The sequence below is a fragment of the Homo sapiens genome, chromosome 14 (genome assembly GCF_000001405.40).
Source record: "Homo sapiens chromosome 14, GRCh38.p14 Primary Assembly".
Lineage (NCBI taxonomy): Eukaryota > Metazoa > Chordata > Mammalia > Primates > Hominidae > Homo > Homo sapiens.
In genome coordinates this window covers 49,868,194-49,888,217 of record NC_000014.9, presented here as the reverse complement: position 1 = coordinate 49,888,217, position 20,024 = coordinate 49,868,194, and the positions used below count along the sequence as shown (strand labels likewise).

The 20,024-nt window shown below is 43.6% G+C and overlaps 3 annotated features.

The window, feature by feature from the left end:
- Nucleotides 4,944-5,527: an enhancer, noted in NCBI's record as "H3K27ac-H3K4me1 hESC enhancer chr14:50349409-50349992 (GRCh37/hg19 assembly coordinates)". NCBI's record gives its function as "activates a minimal SCP1, AML or CMV promoter by ChIP-STARR-seq in naive H9 embryonic stem cells {active_cell/tissue: H9 hESC(naive)}" and the evidence as "EXISTENCE:reporter gene assay evidence [ECO:0000049][PMID:30033119]".
- Nucleotides 8,189-8,248: a silencer, noted in NCBI's record as "silent region_5710". NCBI's record gives its function as "represses an Ori minimal core promoter by ATAC-STARR-seq in GM12878 lymphoblastoid cells {active_cell/tissue: GM12878}" and the evidence as "EXISTENCE:reporter gene assay evidence [ECO:0000049][PMID:35858748]".
- Nucleotides 19,834-20,023: a silencer, noted in NCBI's record as "silent region_5709". NCBI's record gives its function as "represses an Ori minimal core promoter by ATAC-STARR-seq in GM12878 lymphoblastoid cells {active_cell/tissue: GM12878}" and the evidence as "EXISTENCE:reporter gene assay evidence [ECO:0000049][PMID:35858748]".

Below are 20,024 nucleotides of genomic sequence, written 5' to 3'. Positions count from 1 at the left end.
TGGATCACCTGAGGTCAGGAGTTTCAGACCAGCCTGGCCAACATGGTGAAACCCTGTCTCTACTAAAAATACAAAAATTAGCTGGGTGTGGTGGTGCGTGCCTGTAATCCCAGCTACACAGGAGGCTGAGGCAGGAGAATCGCTTGAACCCAGGAGGTGGAGATTGCAGTGAGCTGAAATCACGCCACTGCACCCCGCTCCAGCCTGGGCGACAGAGTGAGACTCCATCTCAAAAAAAAAAAGACTGGCTTCAGAGGTAACATTACAGTTTCTTAAACCTGGGTCATTGGGGGCTATGCCCCTCTCCGGTGAATTAGGGCAAGAGTTCCTCCGCTGTCTCACTATGGGATGAAGGTCAACTACCCTGTGTGCCGACTTTCCACATTAACTGAATTAATGCCAGAAAAGGAAAGTCTAGAGCCTTTGAAGCAGTTTCATTTCCAAATGTAAAAATGGGTCTTTCTGCTGCTTATTATATCTTTTTAACATTACAGGAAAAACAAATCGTGAATTCAGTGTATTTACATAGTTATGTTAGAAGGCTGACCTGGAACATCATAACAATTTTGATGTGGATAAATCTTTAACAGTATATCAAAGATTCTAGGAGTAGAGCAAGTTACTCAATGTGTTTAACACTCTTAGGATGTGTTTAACACTCTTAGGATGTCTTTAGAAACTGCCGCCCCCATCCACAGAAATACAGGAGTAGACTCCTAGCAGTTCTGGATTTTCTGTGGGATTCCTCAGCATGTACATCTCTGGCCATACCAACTGGACCACAGGTAGACTCATTATCCTAATTGGCTATTTGGATTTTTTTTTTTTTGAGACAGGGTCTTACTCTGTTGCCCAGGCTGGAGTGCAATGGCACAATCTCGGCTCACTGCAGCCTCCACCTCCTGGATTCGAGCAATTCTCATGCCTCAACCTCCCGAGTAGGTGGGATTACAGGCACGTGCCACCACGCCTGGCTAATTTTTGTAATTTTGGTAAAGATGGGGTTTCACCATGTTAGCCAGGATGGTCTCGAACTCCTGGCCTCCAGTGATCCACCTGCGTTGGCCTCCCAAAGTGCTGGGATTACAGGTGTGAGCCACCATGCCCAGCCTGGATTTTTATTCCTAAGAATTTAGAATCAGATCTGAAGAAATACTGTGCCAGTCCATCTTTTCCCAGAGGATGCATCTTACTAACTAGAGACTGTGTCACAGCCATATTCCTGTTTTGAGTACTGGGAGGCAGACAGAGGTTAGTTTTCAGGGAGAAAGAAAGAAGCAGATGTGTGGAGAAAGCAGAGATGAAGCAGAGACTATTCCTGACACTCCAGGCCCTTACTAGGGTCTGTCTGCGTACCAATCACTGAGTTTCATGAAACACCCTAGTTTTGGGGTTTTTTTTTGTTTTGTTTTGTTTTTTGAGACAGTCTCACTTTGTGGCCCAATTGGAGTGCAGTGGAGCGATCTTGGCTCCACTGCAACTTCCGCCTCCCGTGGTTCAAGCGATTCTTGTGGTTCAAGCGATTCTCGTGGTTCAAGAGATTCTTGTGCCTCAGCCTCCCGAATAGCTGGGACTATAGACGCGTGCCACCACGCCCGGCTAATTTTTGTATTTTCAGTAGAGATGGGTTTTTGTCATATTGGCCAGGTTGGTCTTGAATTCCTGCCCTCAGGTGATCTACCCACCTCTGCCTCCCGAAGTGCTAGGATTACAGGCATGGGCCACCGTGCCCGGCCACATTACTTTTCTTTTTGCTAAAGCAGGCTCTAATTGGCTTCTGTTACATATAAACAAAGGCAATAGTTTTACAAAACATGTCAAGAAAAAGCAATGTGCAAGCAAAACAAAATTTTAAAGTAAATGCATCAAAGTCATAGATGTTAATGCTTCAAGAGAATTATATGTATATGACCACCATTAGAATTAAAGGGGTAGGGTGGGCTATTGATAAATCTAATTCAGTTTATAAAGAGCACTGAAGTCCTGGATTTTTTTTTTTTTTTTTTTGAGACAGTGTCTGGCTGTGTCATCCCGGCTGGAGTGCAGTGGCACAGTCGGCTCACTGCAGCCTCTGCTTCCCAGGCTCAAAAGCTGAAGAGGTCCTCCCACTTTAGCCTCCCAAGTAGCTTGGAGTACAGAAGTGAGCTGCCACATCTGGCTAATCTTTGTGTTTTTTGCAGAGACGGGGTTTCACCATGTTGCCCAGGCTGGTCTGGAACTCCTGAGCTCAAGCAATCCACCCACCTTGGCCTCCCAAATTGCTAGGATTACAGGGGGATTACAAGTGTGAGCCACCACTCCCAGCCTGACCTGGCCTTTTGACCTGTGCTTGAATTGCTTTATAGAGCTCTTAGAATAATTTAATGTATTCCTCATACCATAACAATAGTTGTCTTAATGTGGGAATAGAAAAAAAAAATCAGAGTCACTGGAGTTTTTCAGCCAGTATCATTTGCCCTAAACAAAAGGTAAGCATAAAATTAATACAATAGAATTCACTTCCAGGGAGATAGAGTAGGCATACTTTTTCCAATTCTTTTTCTAAGTACAACTAAAAACCCGAGGCATTACAAATACAAGAAGCATAAGAAGACTTTGACAGCTGGCGAGAAGGAGGCAGGCTGGCTAGCGACCTGGAAACCCAAGGAATGACTTAGTGGTAAGTTTCTTGCTGCTTTTTTGTCCTTATATCTTCCAAACCTGGAACTTAAGAAGTTGAAACCTTGAAATATGAAAGAAGCTCCAAGAGAAGCCTTCTCTCTTTAGCCAAATGATGAGGAAAGTGCAGGAAGACAGACAGCCAAAGGACCAGAAGAAAGCCTAGAAAGGCAGAAAACTTTTAGAAAATAACCATGTCAGCCAAACACCAAAGAAAAATCTGTAGCCCCACTTCCACCAATGGTAATAAAGGCCAGGTGGAGAGCTATCAACCTAAAGGGAAAAAAACTGAGGCAATCTTAATATAAGTAGAGAGTGTACTTGGGCCAAGTCTGAGGACTGCAAACGAGGAGTGTAGATCCAAGTTGCTCTGAATATACTCTAATTAGCAGTCATTACAAATGTGTTTCTCTTTCTTTCTTTCTTTTCTTTTTTTTTTTTTTTTTTCCTGAGACGGAGTCTCACTCTGTCGCTCAGGCTGGAGTGCAGTGGCTGGATCTCGGCCCACTGCAACCTCTGCCTCCTGCCTCAGCCTGCCGAGTAGCTGAGACTACAGGCATGCGCCACCACACCTGGCTACTTTTTTTTGTATTTTTAGTTGAGATGGAGTTTCACTATGTTGGCCAGACTGGTCTCAAACTCCGGATCTCCAGCGATCCACCTACCTCGGCCTCCCAAAGCGCTGGGATTACAGGCATGAGCCACCGTGCCCGGCCACAAGTGTGTTTCTGAAGGAAATAGGCAGTTCCTAGATTGTTTACCAAGAATTTACATTAAAATAACTGAAGCTATTGATTGGCTATACATTGTTCGTTGTATCACAAGTTCCAGGAACATGAAGACAATGGGTGAGGCAGCTAGTCCGGAACAAAATACTAGTCAGGAGCAATTGCCGCCAGCCTGGAGTGGTGGCTCAGTTGAGCTCAGGAGTTCGAGACTTGGGCAACATGGTGAAACCCCATCTTTACAAAATACAAAAATTTAGCTGGGTGTGGTGGCGCATGCCTGTAGTCCCAGCTCCTCAGGAGGCTAAAGTGGGAGGACTGCTTGAGCCCAGGAAGTTGAGGCTGCAGTGAACAGATATTGTGCCACTGCTCTCCAGCCTGAGCGACACTCAAAAAAAAAAATGCCCCCAGACATGAGTGGGGAGGTGCCTGAAGGCCCATACTCATGTCTCTGGGCCTGATAAGTTTTACATACCTCACAGAGCTCAGACTGTTCGTAGCTGTCTTTCTTTTCTTAGAGCCTAGGCATCCGCACTTGCCAGGCTCTTAATGAGGTGCCCCAATCTCTTGTCCCCTCACCAAGTTGAGTAGGGAACAGGGTTGTCCATCCCCACCAGGTGATAATGAGCCCCACCTAAATTCTTGGTGTCAATGGAGATCACTTGGGGAACCTGGATTTCTACTTCCCTTTGGCAGTAGGAGGCATCGTACCCTGCCCTGCTGGGGTGGATCAGAGGAGGCCTACTGGAAAGTCAGGATTTTCACTATAAGGAGTCCAGTTCCCTCTCCCACCACTGCTTCCTTCTGATATTGTGATATATTAATAAGAGATCTATATTTGATTTTTGGTCCCAGTTTCTTGCACAAAACTTCTGAGACCCTTGGAATTTCCTGACTGATAGATGTGAGGGGCACATCTTTTGTTATTCATCACGTTAACTAAAAATGAAATCCTAAGCCCTGCAACTGACTGAATGAACCACCTCTTGGCCAAGAGGACCCCAAAGAAACCTTAAAAACTGAGTTCCCAGCTATAACGAGATAGGAGGTCAGACATGCCTCTTTGTACCCCCTCCCTGTTGCAGTTTAGACACAACTGACCATCATTGATGTTAAAATAGAGATCATAAGATTGACAAAACAGGTTGGGCACAGAGCCTCATGTCTGTAATCCCAATACTTTGAGAGCCCGAGGCGAAGGATTGCTTGAGTCCAGGAGTTAGAGACCAGCCTGTGTAACTGCCCAATGGGTTCACCTTGCCCACTGTTTAGGCAGAGCCGATTTATCAAGACAGGGGAATGGCAATAGAGAAAGTTATTCATGCAGAGCCAGCTGTGCTGGAGACCAGAGTTTTATTGTTATTCGAATCAGTCTCCCGGAGCATTCAGGGATCAGAGTAGGATTTTTGTTGTTTTGTTTTTCGTTTTTTTTGAGAGGTAGTCTCACTCTGTTGCCCAGGCTGGAGTGCAGTGGTGCAATCTCACTGCAACCTCAGCCTCCCAGCAAGGGAGGCAAGCGATTCTCCTGCCTCAGCCTCTCGAGTAACTGGGATTACAGGCGTGCCATCACGCCAGACTAATTTTTGTATTTTTAGTAGAGATGGGTTTTTGCCATGTTGGCCAGGCTGGTCTCAAATTGATCCGCCCGCCTCTGCCTCCCAAAGTGCTGGGATTACAGACGTGAGCCACCCCACCGAGCCCAGGATCGGAGTTTTTAAGGACAACTTGGTGGGTGAGGGGGCAGCCAGTGAGTCAAGAGTGCTGATTGGTCAAGTAGGAGACGAAATGGAAGGGAGTTGAAGCTTTCCTCTTGCGCTGAGTCAGTTCCTGGGTGGGGGCAACAAGATCACATGAGTCAATGTATCAGTCTGGGTGGTGCCAGTTGATCCATCAAGTTCAGAGTTTGCAAAATATCTCAAGCACTGATCTGAATCTTTACAATAGTGATGTTAGCCCCAGGAGCAATTTGGGAAGGGTCAGAATCTTATCGCCTCCAGCTGCATGACTCCTAAACCATAATTTTTAATCTTTTGGCTAGTTTGTTAGTCCCACAAAGGCAGCCTAGTCTCCAGGCAAGAAAGGGGTTTGTTTTGGGAAAGGGCTGTTATCATCTTTGCTTTAAACCATAAACTAAAAACTAAGTGCCTCCCAAAGTTACTTTGGCCTATGCCCAGGAATGAACAAGGACAGATAGGAGATTAGAAGCAAGTTGGAGTTGGTTAGGTTCAGATCTCTTTCCCTGCGTCAGTTCCAATTTTGCAATGGGGTTTCACTTGAACACCACAGGGAGACCACCCTCCCACCCTCCGCATCTACAAAAGTAAAATAAAATAAAATTAGCTGGTCATGGTGGTGCACACCCGTGGTACCAACTACTTGGAAGGGTGAGGTGGAGGATCACTTGAGCCTGGAGTTCGAGGCTGCAGTGAGCCATGATTGTGCCCTGGCACTCCAGCCTGGGTAACAGAGCAAGACCCTGTCTCAAAAAGACTGACAGAAGGGCACAGTAGCTCACGGCTGTAATCCCAACACTTTGGGAGGCCGAGGCGGGCAGATCACCTGAGGTCGGGAGTTCGAGACCAGCCTGACCAATATGGAGAAACCCCGTCTCTACTAAAAATACAAAATTAGCCACGTGTGGTGGCACATGCCTGTAATCCCAGCTACACAAGAGGCTGAGGCAAGAGAATGACTTGAACCTGGGAGGCGGAGGTTGTGGTGAGCCAAGATCGCGCCATTGCACTCCAGCCTGGGCAAAAGAGCGAAGCTCCATCTCAAAAAAAAAAAAAAAAAAAAAAAGACTGACAGAACAGATTATCTTTATGATAATAAGATACAAATTATAAACAGGATCTAAGGCCATGCCAGGCAAGTGTTAAGCCATGCACTCCTACACTTAAAGAATAACCTATGTCCTAACCACCACAAGGTTTTTCTTTTTCTCTAGCAGCTAAATAAGCACTGGCCTTGAGATAAACAATGTTGAAGCAGTTGCAGCTTACAACCACCACATGCTGACCAACTGACTTTGTTCCATAAGCCATAACTACAGCTCTGATTGGACAAGAGATTGATTTCAGTAACTTTCTCCTGATAAGAAGACCACTGACCAAGGACTGGGTCTAGCCAGTTTACGTAGACTGCGTGCTTAAAAGTCCTTTTGTGTCCTGAAAAGACCTCTGATGAATAGGGCCTAACCGTAATACATTTAAATGTTGAGTCTCCACCCCAAGGTGAACATAGTTCATAAGTAACATGCATGTTTATTCAACATGCATGCACCAGGACCACCTTCATGAATATTCATAGCTCCTCCTCTAGCCTGTTAAATATGTATGTTTAGCCAACTCCTTCAGCATAAAGCTCCTACCCCAGCCCCTCCTCCTTTGAAATGCCTGTTTCCAGGTCTCTACTGGAGGCTGCGTTTCCCAGCCTCTGGGATGGCCACCTTGCAGGCTGTAACACTTTACAAGAAATAAAGTCTCCACTTCTAAATTTATAAATCTTGTGATTTTTTTTAAGTTAACAGTAATAAGCCCGTTTAACCATTCCTGAATTTATGCTAATGAGGTAACTCTTAGAGGATAGGGGTTAGTTGCCAGAGGAACCAACCCTGGATAGAATGTTCAGTCCCACACCTTGAACTCCAGGGAAGGGAGAGGATCTTAGTCACCAATGGCCACTGACTTAATTAATCATGCCTACATAATAGAACCTCCATAAAATCCCTAACCGACAAGGTTTGGAGAGGTTCTGGGTTGGTGAACACACTGAGGTGCTAGAAGGGTGGCACCTCTAGCAAGGGCCTGGAACCCTCATACAGCCCATCCATTCCTATACCTTGCCCAATGTATCTCTTTCTTTGTTTTTGTTTTTGTTTTTTTTTTTTGAGACAGTCTCACTGTGTTGCCCAGGCTGGTCTCAAACTCCTGGACTCAAGCAATCCACCTACTACCACTTCTCAAAGTGCTGGAATTACAAACGTGAGCCACTGTGCCTGGCCCCAATCCATCTCTTTCATTTGGCTCTTCCTGAATTGTATTCTTTATAATAAACGGGTAATTGCAAGTAAAGTGCTTTCCTGAGTTCCTCGAGCCATCCAGCAAATTATCAAGCCCCAGGAGGGAGTCATGGGAGCCCCTGATTTATAGCCAGTGGGTCAGAAGTACAAGTCACAACTTGGAATTTGAGACTGACTTCTGAACTGGGATAGTCTTGTGAGACTGAACCCTTAACCTGTGTGGTCTGTGCTAATTCTGGGTAGTTACTGTCATAATTGTAGTACACCCGACTGGGATCTAGAGAGCTGGAGAATTGCTTACTGTGAGGGAAAACTCCACACATTTGGTGTCAGAAGTTTCATGAGTGTACAGGAAAACAGTTTTTTTCTTCTTCTTTTTTTTTTTTTTTTGAGACAGAGTTTCACTCTTTTGCCCAGGCTGGAGTGAAGTGGTGCCACCTAGGCTTACTGCAACCTCCGCCGCCCCCCAGGTTCAAGCGAGTCTCCTGCCTCACCCTGCCTAGTAGCTGGGATTATAGGCGACTGCCACCACACCCGGCTAATTTTTTGTATTTTTTGTAGAGACGGAGGTTTCGCCACGTTGGCCAGGCTGGTCTCAAACTCCCGACCTCAGGTGATCCACCCACCTTGGCCTCCCAAAGTGCTAGTATTACAGGCGTGAGCCACTGCGCCCCGCTGGAAAACAGGTTTTTTTCTTTTACTCCCTCACCCCCAATACCAGCCTCCCTTGTGGTATAGAGTCAGTGAAAACCCCATGGGGAGCATAATGTACTCTTACGCTTTCCAGCCAGGGAGCTATCACTGGAGGCCTAGTGGGGAGCGAGTACTCCCACCCTCACCTTGTAGTAACAAGGAGCCACTCCTAGGTTGTCAACAGAGGCCAAATGAGGAACCTGGACATCTGCCCCCATCTGGCAGTAACAAGGTAGTGCTCCTCTTTCCTTGCTGGTGTTAGAGGAGGCCAGCTAAAACAGAAGTTTAAGTAAGATCCAGCTGGGTGCAGTGGCCGGGTGGGGTGAGTCACACCTGTAATCGCAGCACTTTGGGAGGCTGAGGCGCTGCAGATCACCTGAGGTCAGGAGTTCAAGACCAGCCTGGCCAACATGGTGAAACCCCATCTCTACAAAAAATACAAAAAATTAGCTGGGCATGGTGGTGTGCACCTGTAGTCGTAGCTACTCCAGAGGCTGCGGCGGGAGAATCACATGAACCCAGGAGGCAGAGGTTGCAGTGAGCCGAGATCATGCCACTGCACTCCAGCCTGGGCGACAGAGTGAGACTCTGTCTCAAAAAAAAAAAAAAAAAGAGAAAAAGAAAAAAGCCAGGTGTGGTGGTACAGGTTTGTGATCCCAGCTATTTGGGAGGCTAAGGCATGAGCATGAGGATCACTTGACCCCAGGAGGCAGAGGTTGAAGTGAGCCGAGATGGTGACACAGTGAGACTCCATCTCAATAAATAAATAAGGTTCATTGCTTAACAATGGGGAATCTTAATTAAAAATTAAAATTAGGCCGGGTGGGATGGCTCACACCTACAATCCCAGCAGTTTGGGAGGCCAAGTCGGGTGGATCACTTGAGGTCAGGTGGTCGAGACCAGCCTGGCCAACATGGTGAAACCCTATCTCTGCTAAAAATATAAAAATTAGTTGGGTGTGGTGGCATGCACCTGTAATCCCAGCTACTTGGGAGGCTGAGGCAGGATAATAGCTTGAACTCGGGAGTCAGAGGTTTAGTGAGCCGAGATCCTGCCACTGCACTCCAGCCTGGGCAACAGAGGGAGATTCCATCTCAAAATAAATAAATAAATTAATTAATTAAATTAAAAATAAATAACATCCAGAGTCTTATAACATAATACTCAGAATATTCAGGTCACCACCAAAAATCACTCATTATAACAATATATCAAATTGAATGAAAAAAGACAATAAATGTCAGCATCAAGATGAAAAAGATGTTAGAATAATATGACAAAGTTTTTACTGCAGCCAGCATAAAAAATGCTTTAATTAGCAATTATGAACACACTTGAAACAATTAAAAAATAGTCTCAGCAAAGAAATAGAAAGTCTCAGCAGAGATAAAGAAGATATAAAGAAGGGCTGGGCACAGTGACTCACACCTGTAATCCCAGCACTTTGGGAGGCCGAGGCAGGAGGATCATTTGAGGCAAGGAGTTTGAGACCAGCCGAGACAACATAGTGAGACCCGCATCTCCACAATTTTTTTTTAATTTTTAAATTCTTCTTGAGACAGAGTCTTGCTCTGTTGCCCAGGCTGGAGTGCAGTGGCATAATCTCGGCTCACTGCAGCCTCCACCTCCTGGGTTCAAGCAATTCTCCTGCCTTAGCCTCCTGAGTAACTGGAATTACAGGCATGCGCCACCAGGCCCGACTAATTTTTGTATTTTTAGTAGAGATGGGGTTTCACCATATTGGCCAGGCTGGTCTTGAACTCCTGACCTCAGGTGATCCACCCGTCTCGGCCTCCCAAAGTGCTTGGATTACAGGCGTGAGCCACTGCACCTGGCTCCATCTCTACAATTTTTAAAAAAATAGCTAAAAGAAGTTGGAATTTCTCTAAACAGAAAGGAAAGGATTTTTTTTAGAAAAAGGAATGTTGGTACATCAGGAAGCAAGAAAGAACATGGTAAGCAAAAATATGGGTAAATGCAATCGATTTTTCTTCTCCTCTTGAGTTTTCTAAATTATGTTTGATGATTGAAGTAAAAGTTATAACTCTCCAATGTAGTTCTAAATGTATGTAGAGGGCATAGTAAAGACAATTATTGCTCAAGTCCTTGCTCATAAAGAAAAAAGAAAAGGGCTGTGTGCGGTGACTCATGCCTGTAACCCCAGCACTTTGGGAGGCCGAGGCGGGTGGATCACCTGAGGTCGAGAGTTCGAGACCAGACTGACCAACGTGGAGAAACCCCGTCTCTACTAAAAATACAAAATTAGCCAGTTGTGGTGGCGCATGCCTGTAATCCCAGCTACTTGGGAGGCTGAGGCAGGAGAATTGCTTGAACCCAGGAGGCGGAGGTTGTGGTGAGCCGAGATTGCACCATTGCACTTCAGCCTGGGCAACAAGAGCGAAACTCCATCTCAAAAATAAATAAATAAATAAATAAATAAATAAGACAATTATAAGCAGAGAAGAATAAAAGAACATAAATATCAGCAAAAACTGAGGACTGAAAGACAACATATCACGTATCTTATTATCAAGTGCCCATGGAACATATACCAAAATAGACCATACCCTGGGCTATAAAACAAACCTCAATAAATATATAAAGAATTGAAGCGGGGCTGGGCACGGTGGCTCACACCTGTAATCTCAGCACTTTGGGAGGCTGAGGCGGGTGGATTTCCTGAGGTCAGGAATTCAAGACCAGCCTGGCCAATATAGTGAATCCCAGTCTCTACTAAAAATACAAGAAATTCGCTGGGCGTGGTGGCAGCTGCCTGCCTGTAATCCCAGCTACTAGGGAGGCTGAGGCAGGAGAATTGCTTGAACCCAGGAGGCGGATGTTGCAGTAAGCCGAGATCACACCATTGCACTCCAGCCTGGGCAACAAGAGCGAAAATCCATCTCAAAAAAAGTGAAACTCCATCTCAAAAAAAAAAAAAAAAAAGAAATGATACAGAGTATGTTCTCCAGCTACAATGGACTCAAAGTAGAAATCAATAACAGAAAGGTAGCAGGGAAGTCTCTAAACACTTGGAAAATAAACAACATGCTTCTGAATAATCCATGGGCCAAAAAGTAAGTCTCAGGGAAATGAAAATACATTGAAATAAATGAAAATGGAAATACAGGCCAGGTGCGGTGGCTCATGCCTATAATCCCAGAACTTTGGGAGGCCAAGGCGGGAGGATCTGTTGAGCCCAGGAGTTCAAGACCAGCCTGGGCAACATAGTGAGACCCCATCTCTTTAAAAAAAAAAAAAAAGCCAGGCTTGGTGGTGCTTGCCTATAGTCCCAGCTACTCAGGAGGCTGAGGCAGGAGGGTTACTTCAGCCCTGGGGTGACAGGTGGCAGCCAGCCATGATCACGTCGCTGAACTCCAGCCTGGGCAACAGGTCAAGACCTTGTCTCAAAAAATAGAAAAAGAAAAAAAAAGAAAAAGATGAAAATACAACATATCAGGCTGAGGCAGGAGGATTGCTTGAAGCTAGGAGTTTGAGACCAACCTGGGTGACAAGGTGAGACCCTACCTCTATGAAAAAAAAAAAGAAAATACAGTATATCATAATTATAAGGACACAGCTAACGTACTGCTTAGAGAGAAATTTATAGCACTAAATGCGCACATTAGAAGAGGAAAACTCACAAACTAATATTCTAAACTCCCATCTCAAGAACCTACTTTAAAAAGAGCAAAATAAATCCAAAGCAATAAAAGGAAAGAAATAATAAGAGTAGAAATCAATAAAATCGAGACGAGAAAAACAATAGAGAAAATCAATGAGACAAAGAGCTTGTTCTTTGAAAATATCAGTTAAAGCAACAACTGCTATCACGACTAAAAAGAAAAAAAGAAAGAAGACATAAATTACCAATAACAGAAGTGAAACATGAGATATCACTATAGACCCTGCAGATATCAAAATAATAACAGAATGCTACAAACAACTGTATACACATACACTTGACAATGCACGTGAAAAGACCAATTTCTCAAAAGCGCAAAGTACCCCAACTCGCCCAATATAAAATAGATAATTTTAGCAGCCTATTATTATTATTAATTTTTTTCTTTTTTTCAGACACAGTCTCACTCTGTCACCCAGGCTGGAGTGCAGTGACGCAATCTCGGCTCACTGCAACCTTCGCCTCCTGAGTTTAAGCGATTCTCGTGCCTCACCCTCCCAAATAGCTGGGATTACAGTCACCTGTCACCACACCCGGCTAATTTTTGTATTTTTAGTAGAGACGGGGTTTTGTCATATTAGCCAGGCTGGTCTCAAATTCTTGACATCATGTGATCCTCCTGCCTCCGCCTCCCAAATTGCTGGGATTACAGGCATTACAGGTGTGAGCCACTGCGCCCAACCTAGTAGCCTGTAATCATTAAGGAAATTGAATTTATAATTTTAAAACTGCCAAAAAAGAAATCTCATGACCCAGATGGTTATAGGATGCACCTTTATGTTCCAGGAGATTGCTACCCAACATTTTAATAGTTTCAGGATATATAAGAGGAGGGAATACTTCTCAGTTATTTTGTGAAGTTGATACTAAAACCAGATAATTCAGTACAAATAAGTGCACACACACACAAAGAATATAAAACTACAGACCTATATTTCTTTTCTTTTCTTTTTGTTTTTTTTTGAGACAGAGTCTCACTCTGTTGCACAGAATGGAGTGCAGTGGTGGGATCTCAGCTCACTACAAGCTCCGCCTCCCGGGTTCAAGCGATTCTCCTGCCTCAGCCTCCCGAGTAGCTGGTACTACAGGCGTGCGTCACCACGCTTAGCTAATTTTTGTATTTTTAGTAGAGATGGGGTTTCGCTATGTTGGCCAGGCTGGTCTCAAACTCCTGACCCTCATGATCTGCCTGCCTCGGCTTCCCAAAGTGCTGGGATTACAGGCTTGAGCCACCCTGCCCAGCTGGACCTGTATTTCTTTTTTCTTGTTTTTTTGAGACAGAGTCTCCCTCTGTTGCGATCCTGCTCACTGCAACCTCCACCTCCCAGGTTCAAGCAATTCTCCTACCTTAGCCTCCCGAGGAACTGGGACTACAGGCGTGTGCCACCATGCCTGGTTAATTTTTGTATTTGTATTTTATTATTATTATTATTAATTTATTTATTGAGATGGAGTCTTGCTCTGTCACCCAGGCTGAAATGCAGTGGCACAATCTCTGCTCCCTGCAACCTCCGCCTCCTGGGTTCAAGCAGTTCTCTTGCCTCAGCCTCCCAAGTAGCTGGGATTATAGGCACCCCCCACCACTCCCAGCTAATTTTTGTATTTTTAGTAGAGATGGGGTTTCACTATGTTGGCCAGGCTGGTTTCGAACTCCTGACCTCAAATGACCTCCCAAAGTGCTGGGATTACAAGTGTGAGCCATCTATATTAATAATTCATACAGATACAAAAATCTTAACAAAATATTAGCAAATAAAATTTAGCAGTGTATAAATATAATCATATACCACCATGAAATGGAGTTTATTTCAGGGATGCAAGAATGTTTGAATATTTGGAAATCATGTAATCCAATCAATCAATGGGATAAAGAAGAAAATTTGCCTATAATCCCAGCACTTTGGGAGGCTGAGGTGGGCGGATGACTTGAGGTCAGGAGTTCGAGACCAGCCTGGCCAACACTGCAAAACCCTGTCTCTACTAAAAACACAAAAATTAGCTGGGCTTGGTGACACGTGCCTGTAGTCCCAGCTACTCCAGAGGCTAAGGCAGTAGAAGTGCTTGAACCTGGGAGGCAGAGGTTGCAGTGAGCCGAGATCATGCCACTACTGTGCTCCAGCCTGGGCGACAGAGTGAGACTCTGTCAAAAAAAAAAAAAAAAAAAAAAAGAGAGAGAGAGAAAGACAGAAAGAAAGAGAGAGAAAGAAAGAAAGAAAATCACTTGATCATTTCTATGAAGGCAGAAAAAATATTTGACAAAATTTAGCACCTACTCATGGTATAAAATTTTATGAAAAACAGGAATAGAGAAGAACTTTCCCAATTTGATTTTTTTTAACCTCCAAAGAAAGAAAGAAAGAAAAGAAAAGAGGAAAGAAAAGAAAAGAATATCCCTACAGCTAACATACTTAATGGTAAAAAACTGAATGCTCTCTCACTAAGATCAGAACAAGGGAAGATGTTCAACCTCACTGGTCTCGTTCAACATGGTGCTCAAAGTTCTAGCCATGCATTAGGGCTAGAAAGTGAAATATTAATAAAAGGCATATAGATTGGGAAGGAAAAAATAAAACTTTTGCTACTTATAGAAGACGTTATTTCCTACATATAAAATCCCAAGAAATCTGAAAACACAAACCTCCCACAATAATTAACTGTATTTCAGCCAGGCATGGTGACTCACGCCTATATCCCAGCACTTTGAGAGGCCGAGGTGGGTGGATCATGAGGTCAGGCATTCGAGACCAGCCTGGCCAACATAGTGAAACCCTGTCTCTACTAAAAATACAAAAAATTAGCCGGGTCTGGTGGCAGGCACCTGTAATCCCAGCTACTCAGGAGGCTGAGGCAGGAGAATCACTTGAACCTGGGAGGCCGAGGTTGCAGTGAGCCGATATTGTACCACTGCACTCCAGCCTGGGGGACAGAGTGAGACTACGTCTCAAAAAAACAAATAATAATAATAATAATCAACTGTATTTTATATACTGGCAATAAACACATGGACACTAAAATTTTAAATACAATATTTGTATTCACTCAAAAAATTGAAATATACAGAATGTATATATCAAAAACTACAAAACACAAAAGAAATAAAATAATATCCAAACATATGGGAAGATACATTATGTTCATGGATTGGAAGATTCAGCATGGTAAAAAAATGTCAATTTCCTCCAGGTTTAGTGCAATTCCTATCAGAATCCTAGCAAGATTTATTTTGTAGATATAGACAAGATTATTCTAAAATTTATATGGAAATGCAAAGGAACTAAAATAGCTAAAACAATTTTCAAAAAGAAAAGTGGGACGAATCAGTCTACCCAATTTTAATATTTATCACATAGCTAGTAATCAAGACTTTGTCATCTTGATGGAGGGATAAGCAGATCAGTGACACACAACAGAGAACCCAGAAATGAACCCACACAGATATGCCCAACTGTTAAAATGTATGTAACATAAAATTTGCCATTTTAACCAATTTCTTTTTTCTTTTTTGTTTTTCTTTCTTTTCTTTTCTTTTTTTCTTTTTTCTTTTTTTTTTTTGAGACGGAGTCTTGCTCTGTCGCCCAGGCTGGAGTGCATTGGCATGATCTCAGCTCTCTGCAAGCTCCGCCTCCCGGGTTCATGCCATTCTCCTGCCTCAGCCTCCCAAGTAACTGGGACTACAGGTACCCACCACCAGGCCTGGCTAATTTTTTGTATTTTTAGTAGAGACAGGGTTGTTTCACCATGTTAGCCAGGATGGTCTCTATCTTCTGACCTTGTGATCCGCCCGCTTCGGCCTCCCAAAGTGCTGGCATTACAGGCGTGAGCCACCTCGCCCGGCCAACCATTTCAAGTGTATAATTCAGGAGCATCAATTACGCTCACAATATTGTACATCCATCACTACTATTTCCAAAACTTTTTCAACACCTCAAACAGAAATTCTATACCCATTAAGTAATAACTCCAGCCTGGGAAACATGGTGAAACACCATCTCTATAAAAAAAAAATGCAAAAAGTAGCCAGGTGTGGTGGTGCACACCTGTAGCCCCAGCTACCTTGGAGGCTGGAGGTGGGAGGATCACCTGAGCCAGGGGAGTTCAATGCTGCAGTGAGCCACTTCCCTCCAGCCTGGGTGACAGAGTAGGACCCTGTCTCAAAAAAATGAAAAGTAAGATAAGATAAAAATTCCTAATTCCCTACCCTAATTCCCAACCTCTGTCTACTTTCTATCTCTACATATTTGCCTATTCTACAGATTTCACACAAATGGATTTATTTGTCCTTCAGTGTCTGGCTTATTTCACTTTACATGTTTTCAAGGCTCATTTATGTTGTAGCATGCGTCAGAACCTTATTCCTTTTTATGGCTGAATATGAATATGCATCACATTTTGTTTACTTATTCATCTGTTGATGGACAGTTGAGTTGTTTCCACCTTTTGACTATTGTGAATAGTGCTGTGACAAACATTAATGCGAGTATCTCTTTGAGTACCTGCTTTTGGTTCTTTGTGGGGTCTGTACCTAGGAGTGGAATCACTCAATCATATGGTGATTGTATGTTTACATTTTTGAGGAACTGTCAAACTGTTTTTCACAGCAGCTGCACTATTTTACATTCCCGCTGGCAATGTATGAGAGTTCTAATTTCTCCACATCCTTGCCAACACTTGTTATTCTTTTCTTTGTTGTTTTTGTTTGTTTCATTGTTTTCAGATGAGGTCTTGCTATGTTGCCCAGGCCGGCCTGGAACTCCTCGGCTCAACAGATCCTCCCATCTCAGCCTCCTGAGTAGCTGGGACTACAGACATGCACCACCTGCCCAGTTCAACACTTGTTATTTTCTGTTTTGCTGTTGTTATTTTCGTGATCCTAGTAGGTAAGAAATTGTATCTCTTGTGGTTTTGATTGCATTTCCCCAATGACTAATGATGTAGAGTTAATGAATGAATGAATGAATGCACAAAGGGACCTACTATTTTAATAAATCTTATGCTCAAAAGGGGATAAATCACTCTTCTAGTTTATATTATTATTATAATGTACAAGAACATTAATATTTGTTTTTATAATGATAAATCATAATAGCATTTGTATATAATGGTTTTGATTATACAAATACTCTTGTAATATGCAATATTGTTTATCCATACATCACAGTGACTATAGACTGTCTCTTTTAACAATATTCTAACTAATGTGTAGTGGTTTTGCCTTTATTTGTTTCTTGCCACACCCTAGGCTATACTCCCCCTTGGAAAATGAGCTGTGTCACAAAATGAATTAGAACCTTGTCAGCAAGGGGTTTCAGCTGAACAGACACAGGCAGCTTGTGCCTTCAGTATTCTCTGTATAAATTGGACTGCTTTTCCAGTTCATTAGCCCTAAAAGCAAACACTGAGAAAAGTGTGAATTCCTTTGGTCATAAAATATACATATAGGCCGGGCGCGGTGGCTCACACGTGTAATCCCAGCACTTTGAAAGGCCTAGGCGGATGGATCACCTGAGGTTGGGAGTTCGAGACTAGCCTGACCAACATGGAGAAACCCTGTCTCTACTAAAAATACAAAAAAAAAAAAAAAAATTAGCTGGGTGTGGTGGTACATGCCTGTAATCCCACCTACTTAGGAGGCTGAGGCAGAAGAATCACTTGAACCCAGGAGGTGGAGGTTGAGTTGAGCCAAGATCACACCACTGCACTCCAGCCTGGGCAAAAAGAGTGAAACTCTATCTCAAAAAAGAAATGTATCATACACATAAACTGCCTGGTCACGGTGCCTCACGCCTGTAATCCCAGCACTTTGGGAGGCCGAGGCAGGCGGTTCACTTCAGGTTAGGAGTTTGAGACCAGCCTGGCCAACATAGCGAAACCCCGTCTCTACTGACAAAAAAAAAAAAAAAAATTAGCCAGGCGTAGTGGTGCACGTCTGTAATCCCAGCTACTCGGGAGGCTGAGGCAGGAGAATCGCTTGAACCCAGGAGGCAGAGATTGCAGTGAGCCGAGATCGTGCCACGGCACTCCAGCCTGGGCAACAGAGTGAGACTCCATCTCAGGAAAAAAAAAATCATACACATAAACCATAGTGTAACAGAATATATTTTTAATTATTAACAATGTGAATTGTGATGACATACTGTATGTGTAATGTATCCCCTAGCAAGTACCTATGGTGCTATTTGTTCAACCACCACATCATAAACTCTCAACAAAGTAATATTTAAAAACTGTCTAAACCACACCCATGAAAGCTTAAAATTTCCCCCTCTAAAATAAAAGAAGTGAAAGTAGACTGTCATATGAACCTCAAAAGGCCATTTACAGCCTCAATGTTCCTCCATTTGTTCATAAGGGGAGGAGGTCTAGGGGAAGATATTACTCTATGTGGAGGTGGTGAGGAGAGTAATATCTTCCCCTAGACCTAGGGAAACCCTAGGATTTTTATACTAATCATGGCTGGGGCCAGAGGACATGCAAAATTAGACATTAACCCAGTCATTCTTCTACTCAGAAATTATGTCCTCTCTTCCAGGTCCAAGATGAATAGACATAAACCTATATATGATTAAACTGTTTGCATCATGTCAAGCAAATTGTTTCATTTTTTACACTTTTATTCTCAAAACTATTATTTTTCCCCCATATTAACTAATAGTTGACACACTGGGACACCTAGCACATAGCAGATCTCAATACTTATTTGTTGAATGAGTAAATGAATGGTTTAGGCAAATAATGTTATCCTGATCCTCTTACCTTAGTCAGTGAAAGCTGTATGCAATTTAAAGTATTTGTTTTCCTACCACAATCTAGGCACGTTCAAATATATATGTATATATATATACACACACACACACACACACACATATATATATATATATATATATATATATATATATACACACACATATATATTTGTTTTTGAGACAGAGTTTCGCTCTTATTGCCCAGGCTGGAGTGCAATGGCGCGACCGCGGCTCACTGCAACCTCTGTCTCCCGGGTAGCTGCGATTACAGGCGCCCGCCACCACGCCCGGTTAATTTTTTGTATTTTTAGTAGAGACAGGGTTTCACCATGTTGGCCAGGCTGGTCTCGAACTCCTCACCTCAGGTGATCCACCCACCTCCGCCTCCCAAAGTGCTGGCATTACAAGCGTGAGCCACCCAACCGGCCGGCCAGTTCAAATGTGTTAACCTCAGCGTATAATCAGCTTGGAGAATAGAAAGTCAAAGAAAGGCAAATCAATTTGCCAATTATTCTGAATGGTGACATTAGCCTAAATCTACAGAGTCCCCAAACAAAAGAAGCACTCTTCAAAGTTAGCTAATGAAAATGAAGCATTTTAAATATTTTCAAAATGAATAAATTAAATACAACATAAAGCTTTTACCACATTGGTGTGAACAGATAGAATCAATAGTTGGATAAAGTGTGTTAAATATCAGGATATTAATGTATGGAGTTTTGGTTTGGGGACATGATTTATTACACGTCAGATCAGAATCAACGTAATAAATAGTCGTGTTGTAATGGAGTTCTACTAAGATCTAAAATGTCAAAACATTTCGGCAGAACTGTCATATGGAAATCAAAGCATATTCAAATGGGAGAAAATAGACCCCGCAAGTTTATTTATAGGCCTAGCAGTGTAACATTGGATAAGTAACTTCAACTGTTCACTCTTAGGATTTATTCTGATATTTAAAAGCCTGTCACAAGAAATGTGTTTCTGGATCGATTAAATATTGTGTATCAACCATATTAAAGGCTCTTCCTACACGCAGGGTGTTGTCGAGAAGAAAACGTGTTTTCTGTCAAACTGTAATTCCGGTTAATCCACCGCTCGTTTATTAAATGTAACTGAATCAGGGACAACCCACGGGGTATGTCCTGAAATGCACATAACAACCCGTCGCAATGAAAATCCTGCCAGCAGCAGTAGATGACTCCGCTGCAGCGAGCTGCGAATAGGCATTGTGTCAAGGGTGGGGAAACTCCGGGCGCCGTGGGAGGACGTAGCTCAGGGTTGAACCGCCACACCCAGGTGACCGAGCTCACGCTGGGTAATTTGTCGGCCAGGCACTCTGGCAGCCTGCCTCTTCACCGCGCCCCGCCGGCGGCCCCGCCTCCCTCCCCTCCCAGTTGCTGGCTGCCCCACCTCTTCCACACCCCAACTGCGGCCCCGCCTCCCGCCCGCCCACTTGCTGGTGGCCCCGCCTCTCCCACGCCCCGCCTCTCCCACGCCC